We start from the raw sequence: 19,463 nt of genomic DNA, 5'->3' as shown, positions 1-19,463 counted from the left end.
ACCGGGCCGACATGCATGTTAAAGGAAGCCTTCAATAGGACTGATGGAGCACAGCCTCGCTGGCTGGCATTGGTGGGGGGGACCACGGCACTAACTCAATACCTGAGTCCACTCTTGGCCTGAGCTGTCTCCTGTGTGGTTAAAAAGGGCCCAAGGGTGAGAGAGGAGTTCAGCCAGGCAGGCACCGAATAGAGACATCCTCCTTAATGTTACCATAAGGACAAAGAATGGAAGGAACTTTCTATCTAAGCCAATGTTCCTGCCTTGTCCGTGCACCACCAAAAATTATCCCTAGTCCCTTCAGATGGTCTACACAGCAGCACCCATTCACCTACTCCACCAAACTGTGTATGGATGAGGGTTAAAAACATATAAAAGGATAAGACTTGGCATTTGAGCTCAGGAGCCCACATGGAGTGGGGAAGCAGAAGATGAGATGCAACCAAGTTTTATTTCTTAGAAGTATATATTTTAGCAAAGCACTGTGGTTTGTTAAAGGTAGGTAGAGCTGGAGCTTTTCCTTATATTATTCTTTGGCTTTGAGATGTTCCATACTAAAAATAGTTTTAAATTTAAAAAAAGTTAGCAATCCCACCTCTACTGACCAATAGAAGATAATAAGGTCTCCGGGTAAATTGCCTGCCGGAGAGACTTTGGACTTCAAAGTCGGTCATCTCCAGACCATGACTGGCTTGAGCCCTGTGAGGATCTGGTCCCCAAGGTGTGTGAAAGGCACCTGTTTGGAGGAGGGTTTCCAGCCTTGAGGGCCCACAACAGGTTTTTGTGAAAGTCACCAATTGTCCCTCCTGAACAAGATCCCTGGCAAGGGGTGGATTTGGAAGGCCATTGCAGAAACCCTATTGGAATGAACAAAGCTTCATAATGGCCAAAAAATTACGAACAACCTAAATGTCCATGGACTGATAAATGGGTAAATAAAATGTGGTCCATCCTAACTGTAGGATAATATGCAGCCATGAAAAGGAGGGACGTACTGACATGTGCCACAATCACATGCAGATGAACCTGGAAAACATTATGCAAGTAAAAGAAGCCAGTGGCAGAAGGCCACGTGCCACATGAACCCAGTTATATGCAATGTCCATCCAATCAGAAAGCAGATCTGTGGACGCCGAGGATGGGGAGTGGGAGAAGAGAGGGGCTGACTGCTAATGGGTACCGTTTCTTTTTTGAGTTCTAGAAATGTTCTTAATGTTCTAAAATTAGATTATGGTGATGGTTTCATAACTCTGTAAATATACTAAAAACCACTGAATTTTATACTTTAAATGCGTGAACTTAATGATATGTAAATTCTTTCAATAAAGCTTTAAAAAAAAAAAAAAAGCATGTAGAGGCACTAGGCTGAGCTTTGAATTTGGAGGATTGGGTTCTGCCTCTTGCCCTGGTGGGCATAATCAACACTGAAACCCTCCCTGTCTCCACCCAGATTCTAGATCAGATAGAAGCTCATCGAAGGACCCCCCTTCTGCCCCTTGATCTCCTTGATCCGAAAACCCAAAGCCATTTCCTGACTCAGGGCAGCCCCGATAACCCAACACTGCTCCCTGAAGAACCACAAAGATGGGACAGAGTCAGTCCAAATTGCCCAAGTCCCTTTCAAAACTCACAAAACCGCAAAGGCAAAGGCAGTTTCCTCTGCCCAGGGGCAGCCAGGGAGCACATCACTGCAAAGGTGGCTCAGGGATGGCAGAACCCCTCCAACACACAGCGCATGTATGAGGCACCCCTGCTCATTAGGGAGTGGTGAGGAATGGTACCCCAAGACCAATTCCACCCCCACACACCTCCCAAGTTGGTCTCATTCTTAAAGCAGGTACAGACCAATGGATGCATCCAACCATCCAATATTTCCTAAGAATCTATTCTGTGCCCAAACAGTCACTTTGCCAGGAATACCACCATGAATGAGACATGATTGCACATTGGCTTTGTGGAGCTTGAGGTCTAGCACAGAAGACAAGATTGACTAATATGAATCAAAGGATCAATTAATTTCAATGAGTACAGAGTGCAGCATGCCTCATCTGGAGCAGAGAGGGAGCCTGGTTTGAAGAAGTGATGCTCTGGAAGTGCAAGGGCAAATGGAAGCCAACTGGACATGCAAGGGAGGAAGGGCGCCCCGGGCAGAGGGAACAGCCTGAGCGAAGACCATGAGGTGGGAGCAGCATGGAGCCCTGAAGTCCCTGCAAAGAGGCCAGAGCAAGGATCTGCAGCCACAAAGAGGGGATGACCCAGACCATGCAACATCTCATGGACCTCAGGAAGAGCCTGATTTTGTTCCAAGGATGGTGGAAAGCCACTGAGGCAGTGGTGGGTCTCCAGAGCATCCTTCTGGCTGCTGTCAGAGAAGGGACATGTGGGGCAAGGGAGGAAGCAGCAGGATGGACCAGGAGGCTGGAAATCATCCTGGTGAGTGGTAGCAGCAGCCTGGCCCAGCAGGAATAGGCAGAGGCACCCAGCAGGCTGGACTCGGTGTTCTCTGAAGGTGGCTCCCACAGGTTTGTGATGGATGAGCTACGGGGGACTAGAGAGAGAAGTCAAGGATACCTCCAGGGTTTGTTTTGTTTTGTTTTGTTTTGTTTTCTAGTTAACTATTTATGAGGGGGGTAGAATTGAGGTTACCAGCAAATCTGATACTGACAACAGGGTGGGTGTGATGCTATCTCCTGGGTGGGGAGGATCAGATCAGGGAGGGAGGAGGCAGCAAAGAGGAGGAGCCCCGTTTGACAAGCAGCCTTTGGGGTGATGTGGAAGAGTCTGCTGCCCATCACAATGGGGTTGTAAACTGAAACCAACCACTGGCCTGAGGCTACTTCTTGCGGGCACTTAGACGGTTAGCTCAATTCCGCCGTCTTCTTATGCTACCAACTGCTCTCCTAAGGCCCTGGGAGCCTTGAAGTTCCCTGGGGAGCTGATGGGCCAAGGACCTGGATGGTGGCAATGTCGGCTTCACAGGCACGGGGATTTTTGTTGTGTTTGTTCACCCAAGAATGTGCCTGGGAGGTCGTAGTCTCCCAGTACATACATATCCATTGATGAATAAATGAATGAATGTGCACGGCGGAGCCTAGCCAGGCAACTGCCCTGCTCCAGGAGTGAAGGCTCAGCCTCCCCACGGCCAAGCTGGCTCCGGGCTTTGTGGGACTGAGGGGCTCATGCTCCCTCTGCTGCCTCAGTCCCCCAGGACAATCTAGTTTCTTCTCTGGGGCTCCAGGGAACTCTTCTTCATGCTTAATGTAAAAATAACTCATTCAGCAAACTTCAAATGCTTAAGAAGAACTGCTCAAGCCACGATCTCAGGCTAAACTCATAGGGAACCATCTAAAGAGAAACAAGAAGGCAAAACACCAGTGTGGGAGTTCCAGGACCCAAGGAAAGATGAAGGCAAAACCACCACTCTGACACAGGCCAGGTTCGTCAGGTGGGCAGCCGCGCCCTCTGCTGGTCACCTGGAAAAACAACACCTGAAGTAGTGGCGGGTGGGAATGGTCCTTGGACCTGGCTTGACGACGTAGCCTTGAACTTCACTTCCTGCACCTTTGACCACATCCCTGAGGGACTCTCTACCTAGAGCTGTGACCAGAGACTACCCAGAGTGGTGCTCAATGCAATGCCAACCAAGGCTTTTTAAAAACAACACACCCAGCTCTTCCAGAACCAAATCCCTGATTTCACCATTCATGGCCTCTGCCCTGAAAGGCACTGGTAGCTAGAGTCGCCCTGAAAAAATGTGGTGTGGGCATCCCATGGCTTCCTGGAGATATGCCTAGCCCTCCTTGGGGTCAAGTCCACTCAAGCTGTCTAGGGCAGGAGCCACAGACCCAGGCACAAGATCAGGTCCCAACATTTTCTGACTGTGTGGCCCCGCTGAGCCTCCGTGTGTAAGTGAGAAGAAGATAACCTACCTTACAGGGTGTGGGCATTTGACACAGCACACAGAAGCCCTCAATACGCTTTCACCATTAGCAGAACAAAAAGTTCCTTGAGAGAGACCACCTGCCCTTTGATATTCTCCTTCCGTGCCCCCAGCACATCCAGGTGACTGGGAGAGGGGCCTATCTATGAGGCAGCAGAGATAGAAGACAGAACCCAGAGCAGAGAAACACAACCCGGGGCAGGGAGGCTTTCGACAGGGAAGGCAGAAAGCAGCCCCACTGGCCCCTGCACTCTTGTGTCATGGGCCACTGACCCATCTTGTATGTTGTCAGCACAAAGCTATAGACCTCCAGGTGACTTTTCCTCCATCCTGGGTCCCCCCACACAGTGACAGATACTGCATGCTCCGACTCTAGCTAATGAAAGGAGAGGAACAGGCTTCTGGGGCCTCTGGGAAAGATTGCTGATAGACAGAGAGAGCCACTTACAGAAAAAGCATTTGTCACCATTGCAGGTGCAGTTTGCAGTCCTGACTGCATTCCTGCTTCCTGCTCTGGAGTGCCTGTGGGGCCTGGAACAGCAGCAGCCAGCCTGTGACCCTGCAGCAACACACAGGAGGATGAAACGCTAACAGCAGAGAAAGACCTTGCACCTGTCTCCCTCCTGATCTCTTATAAAGGGACCAAACATCCTGCTGGCATAGGCCTCTGATAGTAGGGTTTTCATTTACTTAACACTTAGCTCTTACCATGTGCCAGCCATTGTTCTAAAAACTTTACAATGATTGCCATGGCTAAGGCTGAAACTACCCAAATCAGGTAGAACTGTGATTTTCCCATTTAGCCAATGAGGAAAATGAGAGGCAAAGTTCTTAAGTACTTGCCCCAGGTCACAAACCTGCAAAGCCAGGACTGGATCCCATGTCCTCAGCTCCAGAGCTCAGGCTGTTATTGCATCATATATACCCCAACTCACACAGGCAGGAACCTCATGCTTTTGTTGGGTCCCCCGAAAAGTCACTGACTTGATGATGATGATAAAGGAGGAGGAAGTATGAAAGGAAGAGGAGGAGGTAACAAGATTAATGCTGACAGCACTTTTATAGAGCCTAGAGCTTACCAAGGACCTCACATGCATTGATTTATAATCTTGTGAGGTTGGAATAATCATCCTCTTTCTTACAAACAATGAAGTTGAGGCTCAGACAGGGTATCTAACAAGGGTTACCAACAGGACAGAAAAGGGCTCCTACATTCTTTCCATAATACCAGCTCCAGCTCATCCCTCTGGCCTCCCCAACCCACCAAAATCTCTACCAGCAACCCCGGCTTACAAAGCAGACATTTGCTCAACAAACATGCACCAAACACTGACTCCATGCCAGGCCCTGTCCTGTGTGCTGTCAGGCACGGGATGGCTTGGCCCAGTCTGCATGGTGAGGGGGTAAGCCGTGTCCAACACCATCACAGCATGGAGAGGTAGTAGTGTATGAAGCCACTGGCCAGGCTGGGAAGCTCAGGGAAGCTCCAGGAAATGGCCTTTCACTGGTGCCTGCACGTGACCTATATTTGTTGAGTACCTGCTATGCACCAGGCACTGGCAATCCAGCAGTACACAAAACAGATGCAAAAATACACCACCGCCCTGCTGAGCAGAGCTTGGAAGGACACAGAGGAATTTGCTGAGCAGACACACAAGCTATGCATGCCAATGTCCAGAGGTGTTACACGCAGAATAACTCATCCAAATCAAAGATAGTTATCAGACAATAAAATGTTTTTGAAATTTTTAACCTAAGAATTTGAGCAGGCATTAAATTGAGCTACATTCACAAAATGAAATACCATACAACAGTGAAATTAACCAGACAAAAACCTGGGTAGGTATCACAATATTCTGTTAAAGAAGACTGTGTTCTATCTTATTCCATTTACAGAAGGTTCAGTACCAGGGCCAGGCATGGTGGCTCATGCCTATAAACCCAGCACTCTGGGAGGCCAAGGTGGACAGATCTCTTGAGGTCCGAAGTTCAAGACCAGCCTGGTCAACATGGTGAAAGCCTGTCTCTACTAAAAATATACACACACAAAAATTAGCCAGGCATGATGCTGTGTGCCTGTAGTAATTTACTTGGGAGACTGAGCCAGGAGAATCGCTTGAATCTAGGAGGTGGAGGTTGCAGTGATCCAAGATCATGCCACTGCACTCCAGCCTGGGCAACAGAGTGAGCTCTGTCCGAAAAAAGAAAACAAAGAAAAATAAAAACCAGACAACACTACTTGATGATGTTAGACTGCAGAGAATAGCTACCCATGGAGGAGGGGTTTTGTTAAGAGAGGACACGAGGCGGCTTTGGGATCCAGGTTATATTCTGCTTCTTGAACTGCGTTCTGCCTACAGAGGTGTGTTCACTTGGTGAAAATTCATCAAGATGAACGTTTATGGTATGTGCACTTTTCAACAGGTATCTTACAATTAAGAGTAAAAAAATAAAAGTAAAGAAGAAAGGCAGAGCAGACTTCAGAGCAAGAGAAGCTACCAGGGACAACAAAGGGCATTACATAACGATAAAGGAGTCAATTCTCCAAAAAGACATAATAATCCTTAACGCGTACACACCTAATGACAGACGTCAAAATACATGAGGTAAAAATTGACAGAACTTCAAAGAAAAAAATGGATGAATGCATGATTAAAGTTGGTGACCGCAATACCCGTCTATCAGAAACGAACAGACCCATCAAGCAGAAAATCAGTAACGACAGAGTTGAACTCAACAGCACCATCAATCAACTGGATGTAACAGACATCTATAAACCACTTCCTCCAACAACAGTAGAATACCCATTCTTCTCAAGCTCACATGAAATATTCACCAGGATAGACCACATTCTGGGACACAAAATTCACATTAACAAATTATTTATTTATTTACTATTTTTGTTTTTATTTTGAGAGGCTGGAGTGCAGTGGCGCAATCTCGGCTCACTGCAACCTCTGCCTCCCAGGTTCAAGCCATTCTCCTGCCTCAACCGCCCGATTCGCCGGGACTACAGGCGTGCACCACCATGCCGGGCTAAGTTTTGTATTTTTTAGTAGAGATGGGGTTTCACCATATTGGACAGGCTGGTCTCGAACTCCTGACCTCGTGATCCACCCGTCTCGGCCTCCCAAAGTGCTGGTATTACAGGTGTGAGCCACCACGCCCGGCACATTAACAAATTTAAAAGAAATTATACAATATCTGCTCTCAGGCCACAGTGAAATTAAACTAGAAATTAGTAACAAAAAGATAACTGGAAAATCTCAAAATGTGGAGATTGAATAACACACCTCATGTGCCACATAGGTCAAAGAAGAAATCTCGAGTGAAATTTTAAAATATTTTGGACTAAACAAAAATAAAACACAACTTATCAAAATTCGTGGGTGCTGTGAGAACAATGTTTAGAGTGAAATTTATAACACTGAAGGTATATCCTAGAAAAGAAGAAAGATCTAAAATCAGTTATCTAAGGTTCTACCTTAGTAAACTAGAAAAAGAAGAGCAAATTAAATCCAAAGCAAGCAGATACAAAATTAATAAAAAATTAGAGCATAACTCAATGAAATTCAAAATAGAAAATCAATAAAGAAAATCAATGAAACCAAAAGCTGGTACTTTGAAAAACATCAATAAAATTGTTAAGTCTGTAGCCAGCTTAACTAAGAAAATAAGTGAGAGGACACAAGTTACTAATAGCAGAAGTGAAAGAGGGAACACACATTGCAGATCCCATGAACATTAAAAGGATAATGACAGAATACTCTGAACAATTCTATGTCCACAAATTTGATGACCTAGATGAAATGAACCGACTCCTTGAAAGACACAATCTGACAAAACTCAGACAGGTTTTCAACATTGTGTGTCTGTTCAACATTGTTCAAGTTCAACTAATGCCATAAGACAGGAAAAGGAAAAATAAAAAGTACCTAGATTAGGAAGGAAGAAATAAAACTGTCTTTGTTCACAAATGACATGAAAATCTATGTAGAAAATAAAAAAAAAAAAACTCGACCAAAAAGCCTCCTGAAACTAATAAATTATTATAGCAAGGTTGCAAGATACAAGGATAACACACAGAAGTTAATCTCTTTCTATAAACCAGCAATGAGCAAGTCACCCCCAAAAATAAAATACCTAGGTATACACCTAACAAAATATGTATAAGATTTGAGGAAAATGACAAAACTCTGATGAAAGAAATCAAAGAACCAAATAAATGGAGAGAGAATCCATGTTCATGGATATTGTCAAGATGTCAGTTCTTCTCTATTTGACCCGTAAATTCAATGCAATCTCAGTCAAAATCAGTTGTGACTATTCACAAACTGAATCTAAGGTTTATATGGAGAGGCAAAAGGCCTAGCATCCCCAACACGCTGTTGAAGGAGAAGAACAAAGTTGGAAGACTGGCATTCCCGACTTTAAGACTTACTATAAAGCTACATTAATCAAGACAGTGTGATACTGGCAGAAAAACAGCCAAATAAATCAGTGGAATTGAATAGGGAGCTCAGGAATTGATCCACATAAATATAGTCAACTGATTTTTGACAAAGGATCCAAGACAATATAATGGAGAAAAGAAAGTCTTTTCAACAAATGTTCTCAAACAAGTGGATATCCACATGCAAAAAAGCAACTGAATCTAGACATAAGCCTTACACCCTTCACAAAAATTAATTCAAAATATATCATAGAACTAAATGTAAAATATAAAACTGTAAAACTCCTAGAAGATAACACAGGAGAAAAGTCTAGAAAACCTTAGGTTTTGTGAGGACATTTTAGATGCAATATTATGGCATCATCCTTGAAAGAAATAATTGATATACTGGACTTCATTAAAAAAAAAAGTCTACTTTGTACAGACACTGTCAAGAGATTGAAAAGAGAAGCTGAAGACTGGGAGAAAATATTTGTAAAAGACACCTAAAAAAGGACTGTTATCCAAAATATACAGAGAACTCTTGAAACTCAACAACAAGAGAATGAACAATTTGATTTGAAAATGGGCCAAAAGCCTGAATAGATCACCCATCAAAATAACCTACAGATGCTAAGTAGTACATGAGAAGATGCTCCAAACATTATGCCATTAGAGAAATGCAAACTGAAACCACAATGAGAGACCACTGCACACCCATCAGAATGGCCAAAGTCCAGAACACTGACAATACCAAATGCTGACGAGAATGTGGAGCAACAGGAACTCTCATTCACATTCACTGCTGCTGAGAATGCAAAATGGTGCAGCTACTTTGGAAGACAGCTTTGTGGTTTCTTACAAAACTAAAAATTCTCTTACCACACGATCCAGACATTGCCTTCCTTGGTATTTACACAAAGAAGTCGAAAACTCATGTCTACACAAAAACCTGTACATGGATTCTTATAGCAACTTTATTCATAATTGTCAAAATTTGGAAGCAACCAAGATGTCCTTCAGCAGGTGAGTAGACAAACAAACTATGGTAGATCCAGACATTGGAATATTATTCAGTACAAAAAAAAATGAACTATAAAGCCAAGAAATTATATGGAGGAAATGTAAATGCATATTGCTCAGTGAAAGAAACCAATCTGAAAAGGCCACACACTGTGTGATTCCAACTCTACGCTGTTCTTGAAAAAGGCAAAATTATGGAGACAATAAAAAGATGAGTGGATGCCAGGGGTTGCAGAGAAGGAAGAGAGGAATGACTAGGCAGAGCACAGAGGATTTGTAGGGCAGTATCTGTATGATACTATAATGAGGGGTAGGTGTCATTATAAATCGGTCTGAAAATTTAGTCATTTTGTCTTTAAAAAAATGAATGAATTGGTCTAAAGAATGAGTGAATGTACATCACGAAGAATGCACCCTAATGTAAACCAGGGACTGTGGGTGATCTTCCTGCGTCCATGTAGGTGCATCAGTTGTAACAGATGTACTGCTCTGGTGGGGGATGTTGATAATGTGTGGAGCTATGTATGTTGGGACGGGGGTCTATGGAATATTCCTGTACCTTCCTCTCAGTTTTGCTGTGAACCTAACACTGGTCTTAGAAAGAAAGGTCATGGTTTAGAAATACTGGTGCAAAGGCCGGAGTGGAATAAGGGAAGCAGCCATAGGCACAGGGCTCTCTAAGGAAAGAGCATGCCAGGCGTGGGAAACAGCACACACAAAGGCCCTGAGATGGGTTCTGCTTGGAAGACATTTGTAGGCTGATAGACAGCAGCTGCTGTGATACACTGTTAATAGAAATATCAAGGTGTGCGGGAGCATACACAGAATGGGAATGTTGTGTCTGTGTGTGTGTATGTGTATTTCAAAAGCCGTGCACAAAAGTTTTATGTAGACTTTCCAGAAGGATTCAGAGGCAACACTGGTGACCTCTTAGAGCCACGGCACTTCTCTGGGAGCAGCCAGAGAAGACCCAGAGGCCTGGAGAGTTGAGGGGCGAGAGAAGCTGATTTTTGCCTTACATCCTACTGTATTCTTTATATTTTTACCATATATATCTATCACTTTATAGAAAAACAACACAAAATAAAGTAACAGACGCCTTGGCCCTGCTGCGGGGAGCCACATGGTTTCTGCGGTGACACTCTTGGCCCTTTAACATTCACAGTTTTCCCAAGGCCATGGGCGAAGGGTCTGGAGAGCTTTGCAGAAATGGAGTCTCAATGGATCTCAATGGGTCTCAACGGGTGAGACCAGCCATGAGATCTCCCCCAGTGGCACTGCACTGTGGGAAAAAGAAGGCAGAATCCCCTAAAGAAAGGAATTTGCCCTGGCCCCCATGATGAGGAGCTGGAGTTGCTGGTGCCACAAAGCGGTCCCTGGTCCACCTCACCCAAAAACACCTCAGCTGTCTTCCTGAGGCCTCAGTTTCCTCATCTGTACCCTAAAATACCCACCAAGTTCCCCGCATGGTGTCACTCAGGAAGATGTGGAGGCCAAGGCCAGAGCTGGGAGATGAGTGAGGAGCCTTGCCCGGGTGGAGACCTGTGAAGTGGATGCTGACGGGAGCCACTGGAAGTGGGGAACTGAAGCACTGGGGCCCCGTGGGAGGGACTCTGATGGCTCAGCCTGGAGGGAGGAGCAGGTGCCTTCGGAGAGGATGAGATGTGTCCGTGCGAGGGACGAGAATGGCCAGAGCCCTGTCAAGGGCAGGCTGGGGCTGGTGCAAATTGCTGGGGAGGCTGCCTCATCCCTGGCGCTGCACCATGCGCTAGAATATTCTACGAGAATGAAGATGATGTACGTGGCACTGCCCATCATGGAAGCCACAAGTGTTGAGAGTGCTTAAAATGTGGTGCATGCTGCAGAGGACCTGAATTTTTAATTTCATCTCATTTTAGTTCATTTAACATTAAAATAAATTTCAACAGCCACATATGGGACATGGGTCCTGCACAGGACAGCGCAGCGCTCAGAGATGATGGTGATTAGGTCATGAGGGCCCCACCCTCATCAATGATAAGTGCCTTATAAAAGAGGGTCCAGGGAGCCCCTGTGCACACCTTTTGCTTGTGAGGATGTAGCAGCAAGGAACCATCTCTGAGGAACCGGCACTCACCAGACAGCAAATCTGCCGGCCCCTTGATCTTGGACTTCGCAGGCTGCAGAACAGTGAGCAATAAATTTCTGCTGTTTCTAAATTATCCATCTAAGATATTTTGTTGTTGTAGCCCAAAAAGTCTAAGACAGGAACCAGTAGAGCTCCTTGAGGCCACAGATCCAGGGAGCAGGAGGGCTGGCGTGGATCTGTCCCCTCAGGCCTCCTTCTTAACCACCAGGCTTTAGCCCCTGACCCCAGTGAAGAAAAGAATAAACAAACAAACAGGCAAAGTTGAAAGTCTAACACCAAGTGCTGGTGAAGATGTGGTGAAACAGGCACCACGAATGCTGGGTGGGACTGAAACCGGCAACCAGGATGACTGGCTGCATCTGCCCAAATAGAAAATGTCCTGTCCCAGCTCATCCAGTTCTTGTCATCTACTCCAGAGAAACCCCAAACACAGGAAGGTATGCATGAGGCCGATCAAGTGGAAACAACCTAAATGTCCCTCAAAGCAGAATGGCTGCCCTACGGTATATCCACACTAGGGAATAGCACTCAGCGGCTTCCTTGTACTGCAAAAGATCTTTGTAGTCTAACATCATTGGAGCTCTTATTTCCTGGGTTAGTACATAACATAACAATGCCATAATCACTCATGGAGCACACACTCACAAGCACGCACACACATGCACACGTGAGTGCACACACTCACCAGTACCATATATTTCCCACAGACACATATGACTATGGAAGCACAGGGCGGATGTTCTGGGCATCTCTGCCCTCCGTGGTGAAACAGCTGCCTACAGAAGCGGAGGGAAGAGCCTAGACTCCACGACGGCGGCTGTCTGAGCTCCCTACTCAAAATGCTTTCATTTTTGCCAGGAGGCGGAGATCATGAAATACTTGGATCGTTAGAATGTTAATAATAAATAAAAGAGCAAATCCATACCCTCTTCTAGAATTGGCACTGTTGTGCACACTATTAGTGTTTACTTCTTTTCTTTCACTTTTAAAGGAAGATCTTTCATGTTTAAATAATGCCCCTTGTCACCCAAACATGTTCTCCTTCTGCCAGTTCAATGTGGACGTTTCCTATGTTTACTGGATTTATATACTTAAGAGAGTTGTTTCTTTTCCCAGCAGAGTCCGTGGAGCTGGGCTTACGGACTCACCACAGCACAGATTCATGCCACCAGCACCCCGTCGCAGCAACTGTAGATTAAGTACTTTACAGAGTAACCATTCAAAAGCAGTCTCGTAGCCCGAGCTATAAATTACAGAAAATCCATAGCACTAGGCTTATAGGTAGTGCTTTAAAAATAGATCTTACGTTCTGCAGCCGTAGCAATGATGATCCCAAGAATCAACCTGTACAAACCTATAAATAGTAACGGCCGTCCGTGTTTGCACAGAAGCTGTGATCTCTCGGCGCCCACCATTCATTAAAACCCATGCGCACACTGAAGCTGGTGGGTCCATCGGGATTTCGCATTTGGGGAAAGCAATTATTTAGGCAATTAAATTCTGGCGCCCTCACCGGCCTTCGCCCTGAGATATTAATAATAGTGCAAGGGTCTTCCAAAGCCCACGGGAGAATAACATTCACTTCTCTATTTGGCAGAGGGCTCTGCCGTCCCGCAACTTGGGGTGTAACAAAGATTACCCTGGTACTTCAGGCTGCAGTTTGCGGTCACGGACCCTGCTGGTTCTTTTCAATTGCTACTTTGGGGGACCTGTGAGTCTATACACTGTGGCATAAAGGGAGCCTCCCTGTTCCTGGGGATGGGCCTGGGGGGCCATCAGCAGCTGGAAGTGAAGGTGCAGACATTAGAACATTAGCACTTCCTGCTCCCCTGGAAACCTGGGACTCACAGCAAAGATGGGAAGTAGACCCTTCATTCGGCAACGGGCCTGAAGACCACAGACTTGCCAGGCTGGAGGAGTGTCCCTGAGACACAGGCCCTGCTTTATATTTGATCATTTGAGTCTCTCATTCGTTAATTCACGTGTCCACTCATTCAACCAGTATTCACTGAGCACAGGGCCTGTGCCAGGCATGGAGGCCAGGGAGCGGGGGTGGGAGGTGGTAGGGCAAGACTAGCAAGCACAGGGCAGCTGGAGGGGCTGAGAAGCAGCCAGGGGTGAGGGGTGGGGCAGTACCGGGAAGATGGCGGGAGGCTGAGGATGGGGACAGGCCTCAGGACTCAAAGGGCCTCTTGCCCCAGCATGAGTAGAAGCGTGGATTTTATCCTGGGAGAAACAGGAAACCCAGGAGGGTCTTCAGCCAGGAAGAGCTGAGAGCAGATTGACCTCTCCTGGAAGGGTGTTGGGGCCGCCAGATAGAGGATAAAGTGGACGACAGCAGAGATGGCCCCAGGGACCAGGGGGACGGGGCTGCTGCATCGGACAGGGAGAGATGGGGCAGCCTGGACTGGGACAGGGGCGACAGAAATGCTCAGCAAGGGGGCGGATCCCAGATTTGTTTTAACTATATTCAACCGGGTCTTTTTATCAAAAGCACCCTGCAGCTAAATCTGTAATAAATGAAAAAACTTCCTGTGCACTATTACTGCTACAAATCAGAGCCTCACATATGAGTTTATGTGCTGTTTAAGTGAGAGGTTGTCTGTTTTACTGTGAGGTTCCTCCAAGCAGCCCTCAGCCACTTACCCACAGTAAGGACAGCAGAATTTGAGAGCCATTCATTCCCTCAGGACTCCCGACCCCCGGTGACCTGATCAAGCACCAATGCAGGCACCAATGTGAAGGCCTTTGCAGCTGGGATCAGGGTTATAATCAGGAGACCTGAAGATATGGAGATGAACCTGGAAGACCCGATGGGCCTCATGGAATCACTCAGGAAGCAGAGGGGAAGGCAGGAGTGGACAGGGTGGAAGGGAGGGAGGAGAGATTTGAAGGCTGAGAGGATTCAGCCACCCTTGCTGGCCTTGAAGGTAGACGTGAGCCAGGGAAGGCAGTGGCCTCTACAGCTGAGAACCAAAATGACCCGGGCCCAGGCCCCAGCCCCAGCCCCAGCCCCGGCTCCAGCCCCAGCTCCAGCTGACAGCCAGCAAGAAAATAGGGACCTCAGTCCTACAGCCTCAAGGAACTGAATTCTGACAACCACCAGAACGAGCAGGAAGTGAATTCTCTCCCAGAGCATCTGGCAAACAGCACAGCGCTGCTGAGACCCAGAGAGGGAAGCAGGTAAGCCCACCTGCACCCCTGACCCACAGGCTGTGTGTGGCAATAAATCGGTGATGCTTTAGCTGCTGAGTTGGTGGTAAATTGTTCTGGCAGCAATAGACATCTCTCCTGTGATCCTCCTGACCAGCCATGAACACTGGGTTTCAGAATTACACTCCATCCACGAGGAAAGCCAGGCTCAGAGAAGGGTGAACATGTACAAGGTCACACTGGGACTCGGGGCAGAGCTGGGGACACCCCACATCTGCCTCCTGGCCCCAAGGGTCCTTCTCCCACCTCTGTGCAACCTGCATCTCCTCCACCCTGCTTAGACGATCCTCGGAAGAAAGGTGCGCTCATATCCAACATCAACTCAAGACTCTAACAAAGGGAAGAAGCCACAGATGAGGACAGGTGGAGAGAACCATCCCAGTGTCCACCTGTAGGGCACACGGGGTCCCACCTGTGGGGCACCACATCCCACCTACAGGGAAAGGCTCTTTTCAGTCAGCAGCCTGCTCATTTCCAAGACAGGCACCCCACAAGGACAGCCAGAGTTGGGGCATCTTTTAAGGGCTTCCAAAGCAGGCAGTAACAACAAGCATTGACCTGCTGTCAGACACTTTCCAGAACCAATGGGATATAATATAAATCCAGGTTCATGAGAGACAGGATCACAGAACGACCAAGAATCCAGCAGACTGTCCAGGCTCAAATTCGGCTCAGCAGCTGTGACCTTGGGCACGTTACTCTGTCCCTTTCAGCCTCGGTTTTCCTCACCTGTCAAATGGGGTCCCACCAAGTGGAGCTCATCTCCCACAGAGATGTGTAGATGAGTGAGCAGGACTGAGGACAGGACCTGGCTGGTGTGACTATCACTGTCCAGTGACTGCAGAGTGGCTCCTCTCCAATCCCCCACTGCAGTGACTCCCAAGCAAACGCAAATGATCAGTGTACAATATTCTGCACTTTCACCCGTGACCACAATACTCTAGGTCAGAAATCACAGTAATCTACAAATAAGAGGAATATCGCCTTATTTTTTATCATCCCAATGTTTAACCAAACAGTAAAAAAAAAAATGGAGTTAATTTATCATGATTTGTCATGGATTATAGGAAAAGGCACAGATAGCAAAGCCATTAAAATAAAAATAGAAATCGAACATGCACCAAGCCTCCAGTGCTGGAGCGTCCTTGTTACTGGAATTAGAGTGAATTAGGGTCGTTAAGGGGATTTAGTCATGGAAGACGGAGAATGTGCAGTTCATACAGCTGTTTCGGACACTCGTAAGTGGAGAGACACAGTCCTTAGCTTATATTAGAAACCTCATCCAGTGAAGAGTCTATTTTTAGTGTTTGCCCTCTGGGGGAGTGGCAATGAACTTAGGTCCAAATGTGCAATGTGCAGGAGGCAGGAAGTCTGTGCCGGCCTCCAGGAGGCAGAATGACCACAGAGCAGGCCAGGGCAGGCCACCTGGAGGGAGGCTTGGATGGAGAAGGGCTACCAAGGGCACCTGTCAGGTGACAGCACGAACACATAGGGTGGGTATTGGAGAAGATGTCCGGGCAGGCCTGCGCATTCCCATCTCCAGGTCTGCTTGTAGAAAAGGTGTGTAAATCATTCAAGACGGTCTAAAAATACGACATGTTTTCAGGAGGAAGAGCCAGCTTCCACCGCTGAGAGACTCACGCAAAGAGGCCACATGCCCACTTCCTGTAACTTGACAGAGATAATGTTGCTAAATTAGGAGATTCTTTTTGCTAAATGGCTTTCCTTTAGGGAGAGGTGAAAAGCTCAATGTCAGAGCGACAGTACTTAAAGGAACTCCTGTGAGCCGCAAGGGCCTCTGCACGCGGGTGAGGAGAGGAGGCCTCCCTGCCACCAACCCCACCTCCCCACCATCGCCTCCCCATCATGCTCTCCATTGGACACAGAGCTTACAGCACACCTGCTAGGTGCCAGGCACGGAGTGCATGCCCTGCACACAAAAATGCGCCAGTCACTGCTGCCCTGGGTTTACCTTTGGTGGAGCAGATGGATCATTAACAAGAGAGTGAACAGGGTGATTACTGTGCTGGGGGTCCCCAGGACCACCCCCAGTTTGAGTGATTCACTAGAGGACTCACAGGACTCGGCTGTAGCTGTACTCACAACTGTGATTTATAGCAGCAGCAGGCAAAGCACACCCAGCAAAGAAAAACGTGCCTGGGTCGAAATCTGCCAGAAACCAGGCACAAGCATCTGAGAGTCCCTCCCAGTGCAGTCACATTTTGGGGGATTTTCCCCAAAAATGGCCACAACATCACCTCCAACCTCATATGTTCTTCTTGCAACGTGGCTTTGCACCCTCCCACTGAGAGGTGGGTTCATGCCGACCCCGAGTCAGGGAAGGCCGATTCTAAGGCAGAAGTGGGACTGTGATGTCCAAAGCCAGATCATAAGCGGTGACAGAACTTGAGTCTGTTTCTCTCGGGTTGCTCACTTCTCCACCTCAAGCTGCCTATGCAAAAGCCCGAGTGGAAAGGACCCGAGGCCCCGCTCACGTTCCCAGCCAAGCTGTCAGGGGCTGAACTGTACTCCCCCTAATATGTATATGTTGAAGTTTTGATCCCCAGTGTCTCAGAATGCAATATTTGGAGAAGGCGTTTTTTAAAGGGGTGATTACATTAAAATGAGGCTGCTGAGGGGGTGGGGGCTGGGCAATCCAATCTGACTGGTGTCCTTATATGAAGAAGAGATTTGGACAATAAGAGCTTACAGGGGGAAAAGATCCCCCCGGAATAGGGGGTGAGAGGCTTCACAGACGAGGTCTCGCTGCTGGGCCTTGACAGATGGGTACACTCCACGGGAGGCCAGGAGCCTTCCGTCAGAAGGAGCAGCACGGGTGAAGGCCGGGGAGTGAAGGTGGAGGCCTGGCTTAGATGGAGTGTTAGGGGCTGGGAGCTGGAGGACCTCCTAAGCCTCTGGTCAGAGCAGGGCTGTGCTGAGGCTGGCACACTAGGTTGAGGGAGATCGCATCCATATATACATGCACACATACACTCATGCACGTACACACTCATGCACACACTTGTGCATGCACACACTCATGCATGTAATATTCATGCACACACTTGCTCATATACACACTCACGCACACCTTCACACACACTCCTGCACGGCTTCACACCCTCACACACATGCATACACACACAGGCACGCACACTCCTGCACAGCCTCAACCCTCACACGCACACACACAATCACGCACACACAGGCACATGCACTCATCACAGCTTCACACCCTCACACACACAGTCACACACAGGCACGTACACACTCTTGCACGGCCTCACAAACACATGCATACACACACACAATCAGGCACACACAGGCACACGCACTCATGTACATCCTCACACTCTCATGCACGTTCACACACACTTGTCCTTAAGGGCACCACCCAAGGCACTGAGGCACTGAGGCACTGAGTCAGGGCTGCCCCGTTGCACACACGGGCACCAGTACGACACCTTCTTGCCCACGCGCTCACTTGTGTTTCCTTTGACCCACAGTTTGTCACTAAAATGCCTGGTGCAGGAACCTTCCATAGCGAGCCCACCGGTCTGGCCCACTTCGTAGTGTGAGGCCCAAGAGCTGCTGAATTCCCTCCAGGAAAGGCCTTCCACATGTCCACGCGTGAACCGTCCCTGGTGACTGGTGCACCTAAGTAGCTTTCCTGAAAATACTGTAATCACGCAAAATCGACATTGCTCCAGGTCATCTAGGCCACAAGGTCACCAGCTTCCAAAGGGCAACTCCCCCTGCCCAATGCAAAGCCCACAACGCAAACCCTGGGCCAGACCCCCGGTCCTCCCATCCCCTCATCCCAGCCAGCCCCGGCCCAGGCTAGGAGTCCTATGCAAGGGAAGTGTACCGTTGTTGTTTTCCTTAAAATAAACCGCTACCGAAGTCTGGTAGAAATCCCGAATCAGAGGAGGGTTCCGGGAAAGCCAGCACCCTGGGGTTGTTGGGAGTCAGTCCGAGGCTGCTTGCGTAGGCGGGCACGCGGGGAGCCTCCCTCCTGGGGCCGGCCCTGGGAAAGCAGCCAGGCTGCGAGAAGGAGCATCCAAATTTCTCCACACAGCTGGTCCCTGCTTGGGAAATGTACAGCCAATTGTCAATCGTATTAATAAAACCATGTAGGCTACCAGATCAGACCAATTTTTGCCCAAAATCTGCTCTGAGTTTTGGTTTGGAAGCCATGGTCCACTTCACAGTTAGGGGTAAAGTAAATTGACTGGATCTGTCCCCACCCCCAGACCACCTTTCCTCCCTCTGCTCCCTCAGGGCTAGGAATCCCCACCAGAATCAACAGATCCCTGGGTTAAACCCAGTGACTCCTGTAATCCTTATTAAAACCCTGCATTCTACCTCATACTGTTCTTTCACACACGTTATAGTAGATAAGAAAAATAAATGCAAAGAAAAAGCTATACAAGCCTCAAAAGGAGACGCAGAGGGATGTGTTTTTGAGCAGCCATCCTGGTATGCCCCCGGCTGAGGACTTCTCAGGATGCAGGACTTTCAGAGCTAAAACCAGGACCCTCCCTGCCACACTGAGAAAAACTGTTCACTCTAAACTCGAGGCAGAAGAGGGTTTCTTAAGACACAAAAAGCAAAAACAAAAAAAAAGCTGGATACATTTTACCACATCAGAACTAAAAGCTTCTATCAACCAAGGACACCATAAACAAAGTGAAAAGACACACAACAGACAGGACACGAATATTTGC

The 19,463-nt window shown here is 47.6% G+C and overlaps 1 protein-coding gene across 5 annotated transcripts in view; it reads right to left on the bottom strand.

The window, feature by feature from the left end:
- PHACTR3 (phosphatase and actin regulator 3) overlaps nt 1-19,463 on the bottom strand; it is a 270,203-nt gene that overhangs the window by 245,419 nt on the left and 5,321 nt on the right. The window contains exon 1 of one of the 5 annotated variants that reach the window (XM_017027630.2): nt 18,605-18,777. The exons of 3 other annotated variants lie outside the window; for them this stretch is intronic. The gene's annotated coding sequence lies outside the window, so the exon portion shown is untranslated. Of the gene's footprint in view, nt 1-18,604; nt 18,778-19,463 lie in introns of those variants that run through there. One more of the 5 variants, XM_011528525.3, reaches the window with a different exon arrangement.

Source organism: Homo sapiens, chromosome 20 (genome assembly GCF_000001405.40).
Source record: "Homo sapiens chromosome 20, GRCh38.p14 Primary Assembly".
Taxonomy (NCBI): Eukaryota; Metazoa; Chordata; class Mammalia; order Primates; family Hominidae; genus Homo; species Homo sapiens.
This window is presented reverse-complemented; position numbering and strand designations above follow the sequence as displayed.